The sequence below is a fragment of the Homo sapiens genome, chromosome 16 (genome assembly GCF_000001405.40).
Source record: "Homo sapiens chromosome 16, GRCh38.p14 Primary Assembly".
NCBI lineage: Eukaryota > Metazoa > Chordata > Mammalia > Primates > Hominidae > Homo > Homo sapiens.
Genome location: NC_000016.10, coordinates 24,204,142 through 24,221,532, shown reverse-complemented (window position 1 = coordinate 24,221,532; position 17,391 = coordinate 24,204,142). Strand labels below are relative to the sequence as shown.

The following is a 17,391-nucleotide window of genomic DNA, read 5'->3' as shown; positions in this document are numbered from 1 at the left end:
ACCCACTAGCCTTAGCAGCTACAAAGGCATGTGCTACAGATTGGATTACTATATCTTTTGAAAAGAAAATAGAAGCATGACTTCATTCAGAGAAGAAGGTATTAGATTGACACCCAGTGACTCAGTACTGTGCCACTCTGCTCTGAGAGAGTGCGGGTCCTTATCATGCCAGCAGGGTTTAGAAGCAGTCTCCCTTATTTCTCCCTCTTCTCTTGGGCCTCCCTGGACAAGCGGTTGAAAAAAAAAATGGCTTATACTCCCCCCCCTCTTTTTTTGGCAGGTGCTTAGCTAAATTAGGAGAATATAAGTCAAAGGTAAGTCGTTTTACAAATAGCAACATCCTCATGGACAACAAACAAAGGATTCTCTCTGCACTGACACCAGCCTCTTTCCTGACTTTTGTCATGGCTGGAATAAAATCTTACATATCTTGTGCTTGATACATAGCTTAATAAACACGAATCACATTGAGTGGGTGGCTGCACACATACCCTGATTAGGGGCACAAGAAAATATTAAGGTCCTCAAACCTGTGACTCACGAATGACAGAGGTTTCAACCTCAAGTGGCTATAGCAGCCAGGGAAGTGGATGGAGGGTATAAGACAATAGGGGGTGGTGGAGACTGTGGCAAAATGAGAACATACACTGCTTTTAAAGGAGAAGCATTTCTCAGTTCTGTAGAATTATTTCCATGTGGAAATACAGGCTCAGAGCTGCTAGTCTTTTGTTTCTTTTTTCAAGGGAATCTAAAAGTCCAGGAATTTATATAAAGTATCTTATTTTGTCATGTTCACAATGGTTTTGATTAAGTAAAATTCCATGTGAGTAAAATTAAGCTTATCTAATGGCTACAAACTGGATCTTCAGTCTGTAACCTCTGTAACATAGTCTATTTAAGAAAAGACATATAAACAAGAGCTTGCATATATTAATTCAGTTTAATCATATCAATTCTTAAACAAAAAACTTCCTCCAAGAGACAATAGTTCACAGTAACTGCAAAGCTTACTCACAATTTTTAAAAATATCGCTCATGCTTAGCATTCAAAGAAGATATTATAGAATAACTGTAAAAACTTTTACCAGGAACATCAGCTTCTGACTTGAAAAATTACAAATACTGAAGCATTTTGGTATCAGACACAGTAGTTTTGACATTGTCTGTTCATTTGATGAGTTTCTGGAAGTTTGGAAAATTGTACCTCTATAATTGGATAATGCGCTTATTCTAAACTAAACATTTTCAAATGTAGAAAACAAACTAGCAAGCTACACATACAAAGAAAAGCCCTCTAAGACAAGCTTTCCACATGTTGAATGCCAGCATGTGCACCGTGAATCCTGGAAGACTAGAATTGATACATACGCTTGGCTTGAAGTCTTACACCCCAGGCTCAACGATGGAGTTTGCATTCACCTACACATTAATGACAAACTCTGGGTTAGTATAAGAGAAGCCAGCAAATTCATTTTGGTCCAAGTTCATGATGAAGAGTTTATCAGTGGGGGTCAGTTCCACAGGCTGTCTGGTGAACTCTTTGTCGAAGTTGGAGGTGTCTCTCTTGTCTCTCTGCCAAATGGAAAGTAAACACATTAACACAGCGTAAGAAGAAAGACACAGGACCAAGATACGCCAGTCATTGGGTGGCTGATACCATCTCATGAGCAGAGTCAGAAAGAGCCCTGTGCTGAAAATTTTTAGCAGCTGCACTCCACGCACTGGCTTTCATTTCACATTGTATGTTGGCTTGGGGATAGAAATGTGGTGGAAATTTTCTAAGAAAAGAAGTAAGTCATTGAATGTCAGTTAAGAATTGCCATAAAGTGGTGTGTGTGTGTGTGTGTGTGTGTGTGTGTGTGTGTGTGTGTGTGTGTTGCTGTATTTTCTTTGGCTTTAGGATGAATTGAATTGGAAGCTACTTATTACCATGCTTAATGTTATAGAAATAATCATTAGGTAGAGCGTCCTGGAGAAAACCATTCAGTAGCAGCCCAGGTGGCTAGAAGACCTCTTTCTCTGAAAAGGTGAACTGCTGCCCATCTACTCTGCCCCCAAGAAGGCAGAATGGCCATGTGGAGAAATCAGATCACTGCTTAATGAAAGGAATTGACCACCGTCAGCTCGAAAATCCACCCACAGTCTAGAATTGGGTGTTTATCAGGCAGAAGTTCTCTCCAAAGACATTTTTAGCATGTGTCAACAAACTATAAGAGAGAAAACCCAAAGCTTAAAGGAGGGTGTGTAAGGGGAGCCTTAAAACAAAACAAAACAAAACAAAACAAAAGAAACTCAAAGCAACTCGATTCTCCTAGTAAGTCTGGCATTTCTTTTTTTGTTCAGTAGGGAGGTGGAGAAGAAATTAACCCCCATTTACTAGCAATTGCTTGGGGCAAGTCTCACCAGGGAACATCAGAATGTGGGCTAATAAAGGAATCTGTATGATGCTCCGACCTCTTCAGGGTCCTTGCAAGCCTCTTGTCTTTCCTCATCATCACCACACCCACCTGGGGCAGGTGGAGCTGGAGTCCTCACCTCCTATATATGACATATGAGAGAACCGAGGCACAAGCAGGCAGGGTGGCTTGCCCAAGATTTCAGTGGGTTCCTGATTTTTACCTGACCACATCGCTGCTATGTAGGCCTCATCACAGTCTCTCGGACTGGAGGGACAACCCCATGGCTGTTTTATTACAAGACAACCAGGGAAGAAGGCCTTGTATTCCCTAGTGCCCTGCACATTCCCGGGCTGCAGCCAAAGTTGCCTCAGATTATAAAGGCCAGGGGGTCGGTAAGGATTCACTGACTCATTAGCGTTTGAGCCATCACCACCCAGGCTTTAGGTTTAGCCCCCTAATGGGCACTAGCTGTTAAGGATCTCTCATTGCTGGGTTCACTCTCCTTTGCAAAAGACCTTTTACAAGACTTGCTTCTTTGTGGCTGCTCCCCTGAGATAGGTAAAATGTCTCTATGGAGTTCCCTCCTTACTCTTGCCAAGTCTATGTGAGGGTGTGGGAGTGAGGTGGGCACACTGAACTCAGGAGCACACGTGGGTATGTGTGGCTAGAGTGGGGCAGGCTAAGATGCTGATGGAGCTGTTTCCTGGGTAGGGTCCATCTCTACCATGTCCCACCTGCCCTTTTTGTCTTGTCCTGCTTGCTGTTAGCCTGTGGGGTGCTATAGGAGTTTCCATCCCCCAGGCGCTCGGCATGTTACTTCCGGTGTTCACAACAAAGCTCGAATGCCTCCTCTTTAATATTGTCTGTGCATCTCTCTCCCAATCCCCACAAGTCACACTTTAGCATCCTTTAATTATCTTGATTGCACTTATTGCTTTCAGAAATTGTCTTGTTTATTTATTATTTCTCTCCAAGAAACAATATTCTTGGAGAATTTCTTGGAGAGAAACAATAAACAGGGTCCTCATCTGCTTCTTCACTAGTGTATTTCCAGTGCTAAGAATAGTGCCTGGCACACAGTAGGTTGTTTGTAATTATTTGTGGAATGAAGGAAGACTTGGGATATGCCTCTATCCTTTTTGCAACTTATAATTGTCCCCGAGCCAGAAACTTTACTCTGAGGCAAAACAATGGAATTGATTCCCATTGATCCTAAAGGTCTCCCAAATGGGCCACTGTCCCTTTTGAACCCCTGTATGAACTGAACTGTGTTAGGGCCCCTAAAGGTCTGAGAACTCCAGGACAGTGTGTGAGCTAAAAGGCAGGTATATTTGGAGCTAGAAGACACAAAGCTGCCTTTTTTTTAGGTCTCCCCTGGTCTCATCAACCCTATTTCGCTTTCCCTGCCTGTGGGCCTCTTATCAAAGATTCCCTTCTGACCAGCCCCACCTTGGAAAGCCCTGCCCCGTTTGTTGTGCTGGTGATGGCTAATGCTTCAGATAACCACATGGTCCAGACAGGACTTGCTTTTATGGACTTTGTCCTGTGGGCAGATCCCCAGAGAAAATACTCCTGGATTTTACCGTAGAAGTTGGGAGAGAATAAGCTTCTCTGTTGAGATCATTTCTTTGAGGTTGATAGCATCTGAAGCCATGTGAAAACAGTAGCACTCATCCAAGGAGGGTTATTAATTCTACTGACCTCCCATTAATCCCCCAAGAAGGTCCTTGTTGCTATGGCCCTGTCCTCTCTTCAAAAAGCTCTGTTTCTCAGTTTCTTCTGCACTGGAAATGTGGATAGAAAAGGAAGTGGTAGAAATTCTGACTTTCCATGGAAAGTTTCTCTAAAACAGACTTTGGCTTGAGTATCTATTTCTGCAAACTATTAAACTTTTGAAAAATAATGGCAAGAATTTGGAAAATGTTGAGTGCAGTATTTATAACACTATATTCCTTCCTTCCTTCCTTCTTTTCCTTCCTTCTTTCCTTCCTTCCTTTCTCTTTCTTTCTTTCCTTCTTTCTTTTTCTTCTTTCTTTCCTTTCTTTCTCTTTCCATTCATCCTACATTGTTTTCTAAAGTTGTCTCAGATCATTTGTCAATGGCCTAGTGTTTCTCCATGGTTTTTATCTTCCTGAGAGCATGTCCAAGCAAAATGGGATCATGATCCAACCACCAGATAAGGGCCTGTTGGTGGGCCTGGCTCAGAGATGTCTGCTGCCTTGCTACAGAGCAGAAAGCACCCTGCACTTTCTGGACAGGACACCCAGGTTTTTATCCCAGCTGACTGACTTTGGGCAAATTCCTTCCTCTTTCCAGATGCCAGTTTCTCAACAATAAAGTGAGGGAGCTTTGCTCCGATTTCCCTCCTTCTCTTACTGCCTAAACTTGTCAGATAGAACTTCAAGTTTGCTTCACCTTAGGTCCTGATTGCCACCACAGTGGGGACAGCAGGGACGGTCCCCAAGCCTGAAGCAAGAAGAGGACAGAGAAGGATGAACTGCAGGAGACTTTGCCTAAGCAGAAATCCAAACCCCATTTTTCCCTAAAGATGAGGCATCTTACTTCAAGGACATTTGTCAAGTTGTTAAAGTTCCCTTGATGGTCTCTCAGAAGCCCTGGAACTTCTGGAAATCACTTGAACTGTGATAAGAATTCTCCTTAGAGCTGCCTGAGAATAGCAGGACACGGCAGGCGAGGAGGGGGAGTCACCTGCTGCCTTAATCCTCTCAGACAGAAATGAAATTTCTCCCACCGAAGGGTTTCCTTGGGCTTCAGGGAGCTCACAAAGCTGCTTGCTAGAAAGAATATTTAGTCCAAGCTGGGAGGAGTGGTGATTTTGATAAGAAAATCAAGAGCCCCATTCACGTTCCCAGCTGGTCTCTAAACTTGACTTTGGGCTCCAGTATCCTCGTTGGCTCTGGCCAGGTCATCCCACCCCACTACAGCCCACCAGCAGCCCCTGAATGGGCCACAGCCCCCGCCCCTCCGAGTGGCTGAACACTGGGGCCAAGATTAAAGCTCCGCAGTTAGTTCCTTTCTCCTGAGTTCCCTCCTCAGTTCCCACTTTGTAGTTTAGGTCCACGTTTCTCAAAAAGAGCAGTTTTCCTTGAAATAGTATTTCTTCTTCTTTTCTTTTTTTTTTTTTTTATTGTATCTCGATGCTAGAAGAAAAATGGCACATAACAGAGATCCAGATACAAATGAACATTTCCACAAACATCTTGCAAAACAACATCAAAGTGAGGAATACAACCATCTTTGTTTCAAGAAACGGTGTCTTTTTCAGAGCACTTAATTAGCTTTCTGAAGCCAGTAACAAACCTAGATTTGTAACAAATCCCATTCCCACAGGCCTGAGTCTGCTAGGCTCCGCAGCCGTCTTCTTGGTTAAATCAAAGCAGGTCGTCATTGTGGTTAATAACATTTGAATACATATTTTAAAGCATGTGTAACAATGTGAGTCACCTTTTTTTTTCTTTTTTTTTCTTTTTTTTGCATTTGAACAACAACAGAAACAAAACCCCAAAGCAAATAAAGTTTGAAATGTAATGTAAAACCAGGGCCCTTTGGGGGCCTTGCTAGAGTGACTGTGTTGTTTCAGAGAGTGGTGCCAAATGCCCTTTTCAAGTAGTTTGGGGATGAGGGTGAGCAAAGACATAAAGTATCAGAAACTACAACACTGAGGTAGCACCCAAGCTGGTTGCCCTTTGACCCCTTGAAGTGCTTTTAGATTGAGACCGTCTAAAAGCACATTCTTGGAATTTTAGAACTTTGATCATCTTAACTTTGAGTTTACAAAAATAACAGATAACATTTTATTTTGAGCATGTTCTTTTCAAGGTCTGGTGCCTCCAGAACAGGTGAAATAGAGGGATTCCTCTTAGGCAAAGCAACCATACACTTGGATACAAGCCAAGCTCCAGGCCCGGAAGTGGAAGAGTACCGCTAACATCCAATTATCCACAGATTGGATGGTTGGGGGTGAATATGGCAGTGCAGAAAAAGAGGGAAAGAAAGCAGGCATTTTCTCTCCCCATTGGGTCTACTTAGCTGACATGCTGCGGAAAATAAATTGTAAGAGGACTTTGATAATGTGTTAATTATGCAGCTGCATTTTCCATAGGCCATCTGCATAATCCCATCTCATAGAGATGCTCCAAACTACCTGAGGACATTTGGGTTCTGAAACACTGTCACTCTAGTCTCATCAGAAAATCAAACATGGATGCAACTTGGCAATGAAAAACATAAAAATGTCACCACAATAGCCGTTGAGCTTGAATGACAGAAATGAAGGACGGAGATCTACACATCTACTTAGCTCTTGACTTCGGGTTTTAAAAATTCAGAGTTAACAAAGGAAAATCCTTCGAATTCTGATTGGTCAATATTCCTGATGACTTCCTGGTCGGGAGGTGTTAGGACTGGTGGATGGCGGGTGAAAAATCGGTCGAAGTTTTCAGCATTTCGCCCACACTATGAGAGGGGAAGAAAAGAACTTGTGGTGGGTGGGAAAAAAAACAAAAACAAAAGCCAAAATAAAACAGAACCTAGCATAATTGGGTGTGCTTTTCTCCATTCCCTTCCCTTTCAGAAACTCAGAGAGGTTGTTTCAAATGATCAGAAATGAGAGCAACATAAAATGCAAAATTCTCATGACCTTTGGTGCACGACCTTGGGTTCCCGACCTTCAGTTTTTGTAGCTCATGAGCTGCTCCTGGTGTCCTTCTGGCCAGTCAGGAGATGGATGGCAAAGGCATGAGATGGTGGGGCCAGAGGCATGTGGCATGTCCCCCCAACCCACCCCGAGAAGTCAGCCAAGCTCATCTGTTGGAAAACATGGGATTAAGGCACCTGAGATGTTTCAGGTGGTGCAAGATGCAAAGTAGTGACCCATTTATACATCACCTGGGAGATCCCAGTATTTATAGCAGCAGACCCCTCAAAGTGCTGTCCTCCAGCTCTCAATCAGGAGCAGTGGATGTTTTCCAACTCAACAGAATACAATTTATAAACTCCAGCCACTGGAGGAAGATCCCAGTGAAGATCTGGGTTTGATGCTTGCAACGCCTGGGCAACCACGAGGCCCCTGGTTAGCTGGATCAGTCACTGAACATCAAATGCAAGGTGCCAGGAGGTAAATTCAGCCATTCCCTCTTCAATTAGGAAGGAGGGATGTGGGAGGAAATACAAACCATTGTTTGGTGAAGCAATCAGGTTCTAGAGAGAAAACCATTGCCATTTCTCACCCATCCTGCTGGTGTTTCTATATTAAAAAGGCCCCCATCTGAGGCAGAGTTATAACACATATGTGTATGTACATGTCTGCAAATGTGTGCATGCATGCATGGGTGCTCACACCTGTACATGCTAATTCCCACCTAATGAGAAGGGGCAAACCGCTAATTTGGGGTTCCTTGTTCTTTGCCAGCAAAACCCATTTGCACAAAAGCTCTATGTGTTTTCAACACAGTATCTCTACGAGGTAACCACAACCTAATAGTATAATAGTAGTAGGAGTAATAACAATTATGACTGCTGATATTTATTATGCATTTGCTATATACCAGTGCAAAATGCTGTTTACTGGAAAGTTCTTTACTTGCATTACCTTATTTAATCTTCCCAATGGCCCTATGAAGTGGGCATTATTATGATCTCCATTTTATAGATGACGGAACTGAGACCACGGAGACTATGTAATTTGTTCATAATCTCAGCAAACCAATAGCAGAGCAAGATGAACCAGGTCCATCTGACATCAGAGCCCAAGTTCCTGGCTCCATTTTTACAAGTACAGTGACTGGGCGCAGTGGCTCACGCCTGTAATCCCAGCACTTTGGGAGGAGGAGGCGGGTGGATCACAAAGTCAGGAGATCGAGACCATCCTAGCCAACATGATGAAACCCCGTCTCTACTAAAAATATAAAAATTAGCCAGGCGTGGTGATGGGCACCTGTAGTCCCAGCTACTCAGGAGGCTGAAGCAGGAGAATAGCTTGAACCCGGGAGGCGGAGGTTGCAGTCGGCTGAGATCGCGCCACTGCACTCCAGCCTGGGTGACAGAGCGAGACTCTCTCTCAAAATAAATAAATAAATAAATAAATAAATAAATAAATAAATAAATATACAAGTACGGTGGCAGCCTGGTGGCTGACTAACTAATGAAGTGGGGAAGGGGCCAGCGGGAAGACAAGGATGGGGATGATGAAGTCTCTGGTTTGAATGACAGAGACTGTGGTTGTATGAACTGAGACAGAGAAAGTGTGAAAACTGAGAAAGATGATTAATTCCATTTTGGATAACGACTTTGAGAGGCCAATGAGAGTCCTGGTGATGACCAGAGGGAGTCAGAAGCACAGGTTCTGGGCCAGGCGTGGTGGTTCACACCTGTAATCCCAGCACTTTGGGAGGCCGAGGTGGGCAGATCACCTGAGGTCATGAGTTTGAGACCAGCCTGACCAACATGGCAAAACCCTGTCTTTAAAAAATTAGCTGGGCATGGTGGTGCATGCCTGTAGTCCCAGCTACTCAGGAAACTGAGGTGAGAGAATTGCTTGAGCCAGCGAGGTAGAGGTTGCAGTGAGCAGGGATTGTACCACTGCACTCCAGCCTGGGCAGTGATTGAGACCTTGACTCCAAAAAGGAAAAAAAAAAAAAAAAAAAAAAAAAAGGAAAAAAAAGCACAGGAGGAGAGAGGTCTTGAAAAACCTTTTTTTTTTTTTTTTTTTTAAAGCACAGAATATGGGGAGTGGAAAGAGATAACAAGAGTAATAAAAACCAGTGAGCACTTTCAATGAAACAGACATTTGCCAAGTGTTTTTGAATATATGACCTTTTTCATTCATGTAAAAACTCTGTGAAATAGGTGTTTTATTTCCATTTGCCCATGATAAAAATGCTCCTTAAAGTGTCTTAGGACAGCAGGAGGAGAACCAGGAGAGAACAGTATCAGCCAAGCTAAGGACTGGGAGAAACCCCAGGTGAAGGGCATTGGTATAACTAAAATATCTTTCAGAGGTCAAATAGGAGAGTTGCCGAAAAAGGATCATTGCAATTGGCAACTGGGGTGATACTGATGAGAAATGGAGGGCTGCCACTGAACTTCAGTTGCTGGAGGAGTGAAGGTACATTGAGAAAGTCAAGAGGTGCACGCTCTTCTTCAAAGCCTTTTTGTTGAGGGAAGCAGAAGTATTTGCTGTGCATGCAAGGGACTTAGGTCTCCAAGAGCCTCTGCCTCCTGCTCACTTCTTATCTGAGTAAAAGTGAGTCTGGGGCCGGGCGCGGTGGCTCATGCCTGTAATCCCTGAACTTTGGGAAGCCGAGGCGGGTGGATCACCTGAGATCAAGAGTTCGAGACCAGCCTGGCCAACATGGTGAAATCCCATCTCTACTAAAAATACAAAAAATTAGCCAGGCGTGGTGTCAGGTGCCTGTAATCCCAGCTACTCGGGAGGCTGAGGCAGGAGAATCACTTAAACCCAGGAGGCAGAGGTTACAGTGAGCTGAGATGGCACCATTGCACTCCAGCCTGGGCAACAAAAGGGAAACTCCATCGCAAAAAAAAAAAAAAAAAAGTGAGTCTGTAGACTGAATTCAAACCCTGGCATTATGCTACCCACTATCTGTGCAACTCTGGGCAAGTTCCTTAAAGTTTCAGTTTCCTCTTTTGTAAAATGGGAGCAATTTTAATTCCTATCACACTGGGGTTGTGATATGAGGATAAAATGAGAGAATGCAAGTAACAGGTACTGAGTATGTGATCAACGCATCATGGCTCCAAGTATTATTTAGTTCCCATTTTCTACTACAAATCCCTACAGACAGACAGCGTATGTTTCCTATAATAGGGCATTTGCATGGTGTTTAAGTTTTAAATACTAAGGAAACAGTCTTGAATTTTTAAAAGACTCTTGTCAGACTTAAGGAAACCTATTTGTCATTCCAAGCTAAATTGTTTCTGCTGTTTTTGTTATCTTGGCTTCAGGTCTCAGAAAATGAGAACTCTCTGACATAGTATGAAGACCTGGGGTCTTTTCTGCTGGCCAGTGGAGGGAAGCTCCCACAGAAGGATGACCCCTCGGTAAACTCACTGTGGTTAGAATTGTTGTCCAGATTCATTCATTTGTTTATTCATTTTCTCATTCAAGACGGATTTACTGAGCACCCACTACATGCCAGGCTCTGTGCTAGTAGAAAATGATACAAAATCCATGCTTCATGGAACTTACATTTTACTGGGGAAGAGAAGCAACAAACGAGACTGTAACTGTAAATGTGAATATATGTTTTAGTGCCAGAGGGAGATAAGTGATGTGAAGAAAAATAAAGCCAAGGCCGGGCAGGGTAGCTCACGCCTATAATCCCAGCACTTTGAGAGGCCGAGGATGGTGGATCACTTGAGCTCAGGAATTCATGACCAGCCTGGGCAACATGGTGAAACCCCGTCTCTACCAAAAATACAAATATTAGCTGGGTGTGGTGGTGCACACCTGTGGTCCCAGCTACTCAGGAGGACTGTGGTGGGGGGATCACTTGAGCCCAGGAGGCAGAGGTTGCAGTGAGCGGAGATCAAGCCACTGCACTCCAGCCTGGGCGACAGAATGAGACTCTGTCTCAAAAAAAAAAAAAAGAAGAAGAAAGTCCAGGGGATGGAGTGAGAGTGATGCCATTTTCAGCTTGGAGGAAATGGCCTTTGAGCAAGACCTCAGTGAAGTGAGAGAGGGTGCCCTTTGGATGTCGGGAGGAAAGGCATGCTAGGCAGAGGGAGCAGCAAGTGCAAAGGCCCCAAGACAGAGCTCACCTGGCACAGTCACCAAGCAGCAATGAGGTCAGTATGGTATGGCCAGAGCAGAGTGACCAAGGGGCCACACAGCGGGCCACGAGCCAGAGCAGGGTCCTTGATGGCCATGTAAGGACAGTGGATTTTCATCTCAGCTAGATGAGAAACTGCTGGAGAATGTTGAGCCCTGAATGATATGATGACGTATGTTTTGTTTTTATAATATTTCATTGTTTTAGAGACATGGTCTTGCTCTGTTGCCCATGCTTGAGTCAGAGGCATGATCACAGCTCACTGCAGCCTCAAACTCCTGGGCTCAAGCAATCCTCCCACTTTAGCCTCATGAGTAGCTAGGACTACAGGTGTGCACCACCACGCAGGACTAATTTTTTTTTTTTTGTAGACACAGGGTGTGTGTGTGGGGTCTTGCTATGTTGCCCAGGCTGGTCTCGAACTCCTATCCTCAAGTGATCCTCCCACCTCAGCCTCCCAAAGTTCTGGAATTCCAGGTGTCAGCCACCAAGACTGGCCCTGATTTACATTTAAACAGGATCACTGGTGTGGTGTACAAGGATAGATTAAATGAGCGGGGGACAATAGTGGAAACAGTACAACCAGTGAGGAGGTGGTTATGATAATCCAGTTAAGAATGATGGGGGCTTGAAGGAAGGTGATTGGTGGAGGGATGGAAAGATGCATTCGGATGTGGGGTATATTCTGAATTCAGAGTTGACAAGATTTGCTGATGGATTGGGTGTGGGGTATGTGAGGAAGAGAGGCATTGTTGGTGACCCTGGCATTTTTGGCCTGAGCTATTTAGTAAGAGAGGAACACGAGGAGGAGATCCTATTTGAGGGGGGAAATTTAGTATTTGCTTTCCTTTTTGATAAGTTCAAAATTCCAGAGGACACGTCAAGGAGTCCCCTCAGCTGCAGTGTGGGGATTGCAGAGGTTTGGGGAGCTAGATTGGTGGCCGTGGCATCGGGGAGAGACTGCCGCAGTCATCCACAGGAGAGGAATGGTGGCTTAGGACTGTAGAAAGGGGAGGCAGAGCAGACAACAAAGAGGTGATGGTGGCAGGGACTGCTGGTATGGCATCCTGGTGTGACTATAAGGCAGACCCGTGCGTGTTTTTCTTTGGCCTGGGTGTTGGAACCCAAGCCAGCCAGTCTAGGAAGCACATTTGCTGAGACACAGAGCATCTTCAGGGACCATTTTTCTTTAAAAACCATCAATTTCCCATCCACACCAGAAGGCTGTTTCTTCGCCTGGGCCTCCCCAGAGGCTGTGATGGGAGACAGTGAAACAGCTTCTGGCAGCTCCACAACCTCCCCCTCCCTCTCCCCACTCCCTCCTGCCTCAGAGAACAATGAAATCTTTAAGTGAGATAGCACAGAGGAGACACAAGAACAGGGATTAACCAAGGGGGTGCGATACAGAGGGAGCGTGATTTCCCTGCTAATCAGCAGCTTACAGGGCTGGCAGATCACAGCCTCCCTGTTAAGTGTTTCTGTGTTTTTCAAATGGAGCTGTCACTGACCATTAGCTTCAGGAGCGCTCCCTAAATGGAGACGTCAGCCCTTGGGAGACACAGCCCAGATCAGTTTCCTGCCTGCTGTGTCCTTGAAGTATGGGCAGCTCAGTGGCTGGGATCTAATTAAAAACGCACCATGGATTGCACCTGCCTCTCTGGCTTGTCTTGGGTGAACACTTCAGCCTCACTCAGCTTAAAAAAAAAAAGAAAATCCGACTCCCTTGTCATCAGGGTACATCAATGGGGCTCCTGGAACAGGAATGGGGGCCAGAAACCAACTGGGTTATTTAAACCACAAGCACCTCTTTCAGGATTAAGGAGAGGAGTAAGAAGGTTGATTTGTTGAATTACGCTCCTGAATTTAAGAATCTAGACAGTTTGAAAAGCTTATCTGTGACCTGTTACACGTAAGCTCTTTTTCTTTTTCTCTTCTCTTTTAATTTCTGTTTCATTGAATTAATAACAGAGTCTTGCTGTTGAATGTGGAGTTGGCTTGGTCACCACTGCCACAGGGATCTCTTTTTTGTTTTGTTTTGTTTTGTTTTTTGAGACAAGGTCTTGCTCTCTTACCCAGGTTGGGGTGCAGTGGCGTGATCATAGCTCACTGCCACCTTGAATTCCAAGGCTCAAGGGATCCTCTTGCCTTGGCCTTGTGAGTAGCTTGGGACCACAGCTGCACACCACCATGGCCAGCTAAAGGGATCTTTTAAAGACGCTGACTGGAGTATGCCATTTCCCTGCTCTTATCTGCAATAGCTCCCCATTGCCCAAAGCCCACACTCCTTAGCATGGCTTAAGGGGCCATTTAGGACCTGTTCCTGGACACTTGGTCAATGGCCCCTTCCCTGCCTGTGTCCCCCACCCCCTGAGACACCCTCCAGCCATACTGAAGTATTTCCAGTTCCTAGAACACTCATGAACTCTTGGAGGTGACTCCAGGCCCTTGCACAGGCTGCCTCCTCTGCCAGGAACACTTGCCTTCCACTCCTTCTCCACTCATCCAGCTATCTCCTGTGCATCCTTTCTGTCTCCAGAGCAGTGTCACTTCCTCCACGAGGTTTTCCCTGACCTGTCCTCTATACTCCTGGATTTACCCCATCAAAATACAGGGTGTTCATCAAAGAATCGTCAGAGGAAAGAAAAATTGGGAATCTACTATGGGCCAATAGGGAAAACAGTTAAATAAATAATGATACATCTATTTGATGTATTACCATGCAAAACATTCTTAAAAATTAAAAGAAGATGTAGAAGAATATTAAATGACATAGTTATATAATTACTAACAGTGTGTACAATATCTTCCCATTCTATAAATTATATACACAAATGTATACGTAATATCTGTACACATTTTATACACAGGCTTATGGAGATTCGAAGAATTACAGATGGTTTTAATTTTTTCCTTTTCCCCTTTATGCTTGATTATATTTTAAAAATTTACATAACAATCAGGTATTGTTATTATTATTTTGTAATAAGAAAAGAAGCTGTGAAAGCTATTTTAAATGAGACAGCAATTATCATGGAAGAAATTGAAAAATAGAAATAAAGAGAATGGGAGTATTTGGGTAAATTGTTAAGGTTAGCCTGATGCTACTTTAACATGCTTCATCTTAGTAAAACACTCTAAGGCAGCAGGAGGATCGCTTGAGGCTAGGAGTGTGAGACCAGCCTGGGCAACATAGCAAGACCCTGTCTCTACAAAAATTTAAAACTTCTCAGGGCATGACGCCACATGCCTGTAGTCCCAGCTACTTGGAAGGCTGAAGTTGGAGGATTACTTGAGCCCAGGAGGTTTAGACTGCAGCAAGCTATGATCGTGCCTCTGCACTTCAGCCTGGGTGACAGAGTGAGACCCTGTCTCAAAACAAAATGAAGCAAAAAAACTCTAAAACAAGTGGCTGCTTTGACGTGTATTTTGGTGCTAAGGGATAATAAGGAAGGCTAATATTTGGCTGTTGTAGATCCTCTGCCGAGCAGCATGCTGGACTCTGGCGATACATAAGAGGGTACCTGTTCTTGTCCCCGTTGAGCTTAAGATCTAGCAGAGGACACAGATGCACACACAGGCCACTGCATGGGACCATGGGACAGGTGCTGCCATTGAGCACAGAGGAAAGGAACCCAAGAAGGGCCAGGAACTCTGTCTGGAGGGAGTGACATCTCACTTGAGTGGGACCTGCAAGAGAGACATTGCTTCTTTGGAGGAGGAAAGGAAAGAGCCTGGAGAAGAAATGGAGGTAAAAAGAGGGCATGGACAAGGTAAGATGGTGGAGGAGAGGATAAGGCTCCTCCCTGCTGTCTGTTGCCTAGCCGACTTTGATAACATGAGGCTAGTGGCTCAGGGGAGCTACCTGCCCAGCCTCCATCAAGACACCAGGACACCTTCAGGTTAACAAGACCAGAAGGTCACGATGAAAAGACATCCAAGCTACATAGCCTAGGCAAAAAGACAAGCGCATCTTTCTTTTTCACATGTGCACATCCAGTGAAATGCAGGGTCGTTCCTATGCCTTCCAGTTTCCCACAGCCGAATACAGGAGGGACCCACTCCAGGGAGAATCAGATGCTCAAAGCTGCATACATATTTGATCATTTTAAAAAGTCATTTGTGGTCTGGGTTTTGGCAGAAAAAAAGAGAGATTTAAGTCTCCTTTTTCTGCTAATAATGAAGGTCCCTTACAATCAGGGATCTTTTATCTCTTATGTTTATTTAGGGAGGAAGTCAGTAGGAGAGGGGTCTTTTGTGTTTGATACTAAGTCTGTTTTGTTTTGCTCTTGCTTTTCTTAATTTTCATTAAAAAATAACATCCAGTGTTTTGATTTCCTCCAGATCTCAGTTTAAATGGCACCCTGTCAGAGAAGCTGTTCCAGACCACCTTCAAATAAAGAGGATTCTCATTCTTCCCTCCTGTTATTCTCTGTCAAGATATCCTGTTCATTTCTTTAACAGAAATAAAATCTGGTATATCTCAGTCTATAATTATTAATACATGTTCATTCTCTGTTGATTGTCTATGTTCTCATCTAGACTGTAAGCCACATGAGAGCAAAATCACATCTGTTTTATTCACCACTGCGTTTCTAGAACCCAGGGATGAAAAAAAATCAAATGGACAAATAATAGTGTATGTTAAGCACTAACTATGAGCCAGATACTGTGTTAAGTGTTTTGCAAGCTTTACCTCCTTTAATCCCCCCAAAAGCTCTATGAAGTCCTTGCTGTGCAATGAGAAAATGGGTTTAGTTTAAGTATCTGACCACGATTTGATCCTAGATTTGACAAGAGATCCAGACTCTTCTATCAGTCTCCTACATTTATCGCAGAAACAAACAAGCTATTAAAAAGCACCAAGATGCCAGGCATGGTGGTGCCATGCCTATAATACCAGCACTTTGGGAGGCCCAGGTGGAAGGATCACTTGAGATCAGGAGTTTGAGACCAGCCTGGGCAACATAGAGAGAACCTGTCTCTACAAAGAATTTTTTAAAAATTGGCCAGGCATGGTGGTGCATGCCTGTGGTCCCAGCTGTTCAAGAGGCTGAGGCACGGGGAATCCCTTGAGCCCAGGAACTGGAGGCTGCAGTGAGCTATGACTGTTCCACTTCACTTCAGCCTGGGTAACAGAGTAAGACCCTGTCTCTAAAAAAAAAAAAAAAAAAAAAAGGAATTATAATAATAATTTTTTTTTTGAGATGAAGTCTCACTTTGTCGCCCAGGCTGGTGTGCAGTGGCACGATCTCGGCTCACTGCAACCTCCACCTCCCGGGTTCAAGCGATTCTCCTGCCTCAGCCTCCCAAGTAGCTGGGACTACAGGCACCCATCACCATGCCCAGCTAATTTTTGTATTTTTAGTAGAGACGGGGTTTCACTATGTTGGCTAGGCTGGTCTCGAACTCCTGACCTCGTGATCTGCACGCCTTGGCCTCCCAAAGTGCTAGGATTACAGGCATGAGCCTCTGTGCCTGGCCATAAAAAATTTTAAAACACACAAAAGAATCCTTCTTAATCCCGCCACCCCAAATCTCTGTATTATGTTAACATCTTGGTTTGTATCCTAGATGGCTGGATGAATAGATGAATGGATGTTTTTTAGTTTTTAGACAAAGGTGGAATCATGACTCTGTTCTTTTGCTTGCTTTTTAAAAGAAACTAGATGAAATACACTCTAAACATCTTCCCATGTCAACAGAATATCATTTTTTTTCTTATCTATTCTTCACCATTCATCCTAAACCCACATTGTTGGCTTCAAGTAAACTCACCCTCAAATAGTAATTATCCCTTCTATTTGCCTATCTTTTTATAGCTTTGATTCCCACAAGGCTGTGAGATAGGCAGGAAAAGGATTATCTCTACTTAACAGATAATTTTAAGAGTTAACAGTTTGTTCAGGGTCATATAGGGTCAAGTAGGAGAGCCAAGATCCAGAGCCCATCTGTTCAATTCCAAAGCCCATGGGCTTTCCATTACATCCCATTGCCTCATACTATGTATCTGATTGTGTGGCACGGACTTAAAAGTTAAGCTAACCTGGGTACCAATCCTGGCTCCAACAATTCCCAGCTATACAACCTTCAAGCAAGTTAGCTAAGTCCCCTAAGCTCAAGTTTCTTGTAGGGTGTGGCGAGAATGACTTGATAAAATTCACATCAAATACTTAACATGG

General features: G+C 44.0%; 1 protein-coding gene across 3 annotated transcripts in view, besides 1 other annotated feature; it reads right to left on the bottom strand.

Moving 5' to 3' along the window:
• PRKCB (protein kinase C beta) overlaps nucleotides 922-17,391 on the bottom strand; it is a 384,629-nt gene continuing 368,159 nt past the window's right edge. For 2 of the 3 annotated variants that reach the window (NM_002738.7, XM_047434365.1), the window contains one exon: nucleotides 922-6,875. In NM_002738.7, coding sequence (NP_002729.2) covers nucleotides 6,717-6,875 — 159 coding nt within the window. In that variant the 3' untranslated portion in view covers nucleotides 922-6,716. The remainder of the gene's footprint in view (nucleotides 6,876-17,391) is intronic. The other variant, NM_212535.3, reaches the window with a different exon arrangement.
• Nucleotides 12,389-12,948: an enhancer, noted in NCBI's record as "NANOG hESC enhancer chr16:24219906-24220465 (GRCh37/hg19 assembly coordinates)". NCBI's record gives its function as "activates a minimal SCP1, AML or CMV promoter by ChIP-STARR-seq in naive H9 embryonic stem cells {active_cell/tissue: H9 hESC(naive)}" and the evidence as "EXISTENCE:reporter gene assay evidence [ECO:0000049][PMID:30033119]".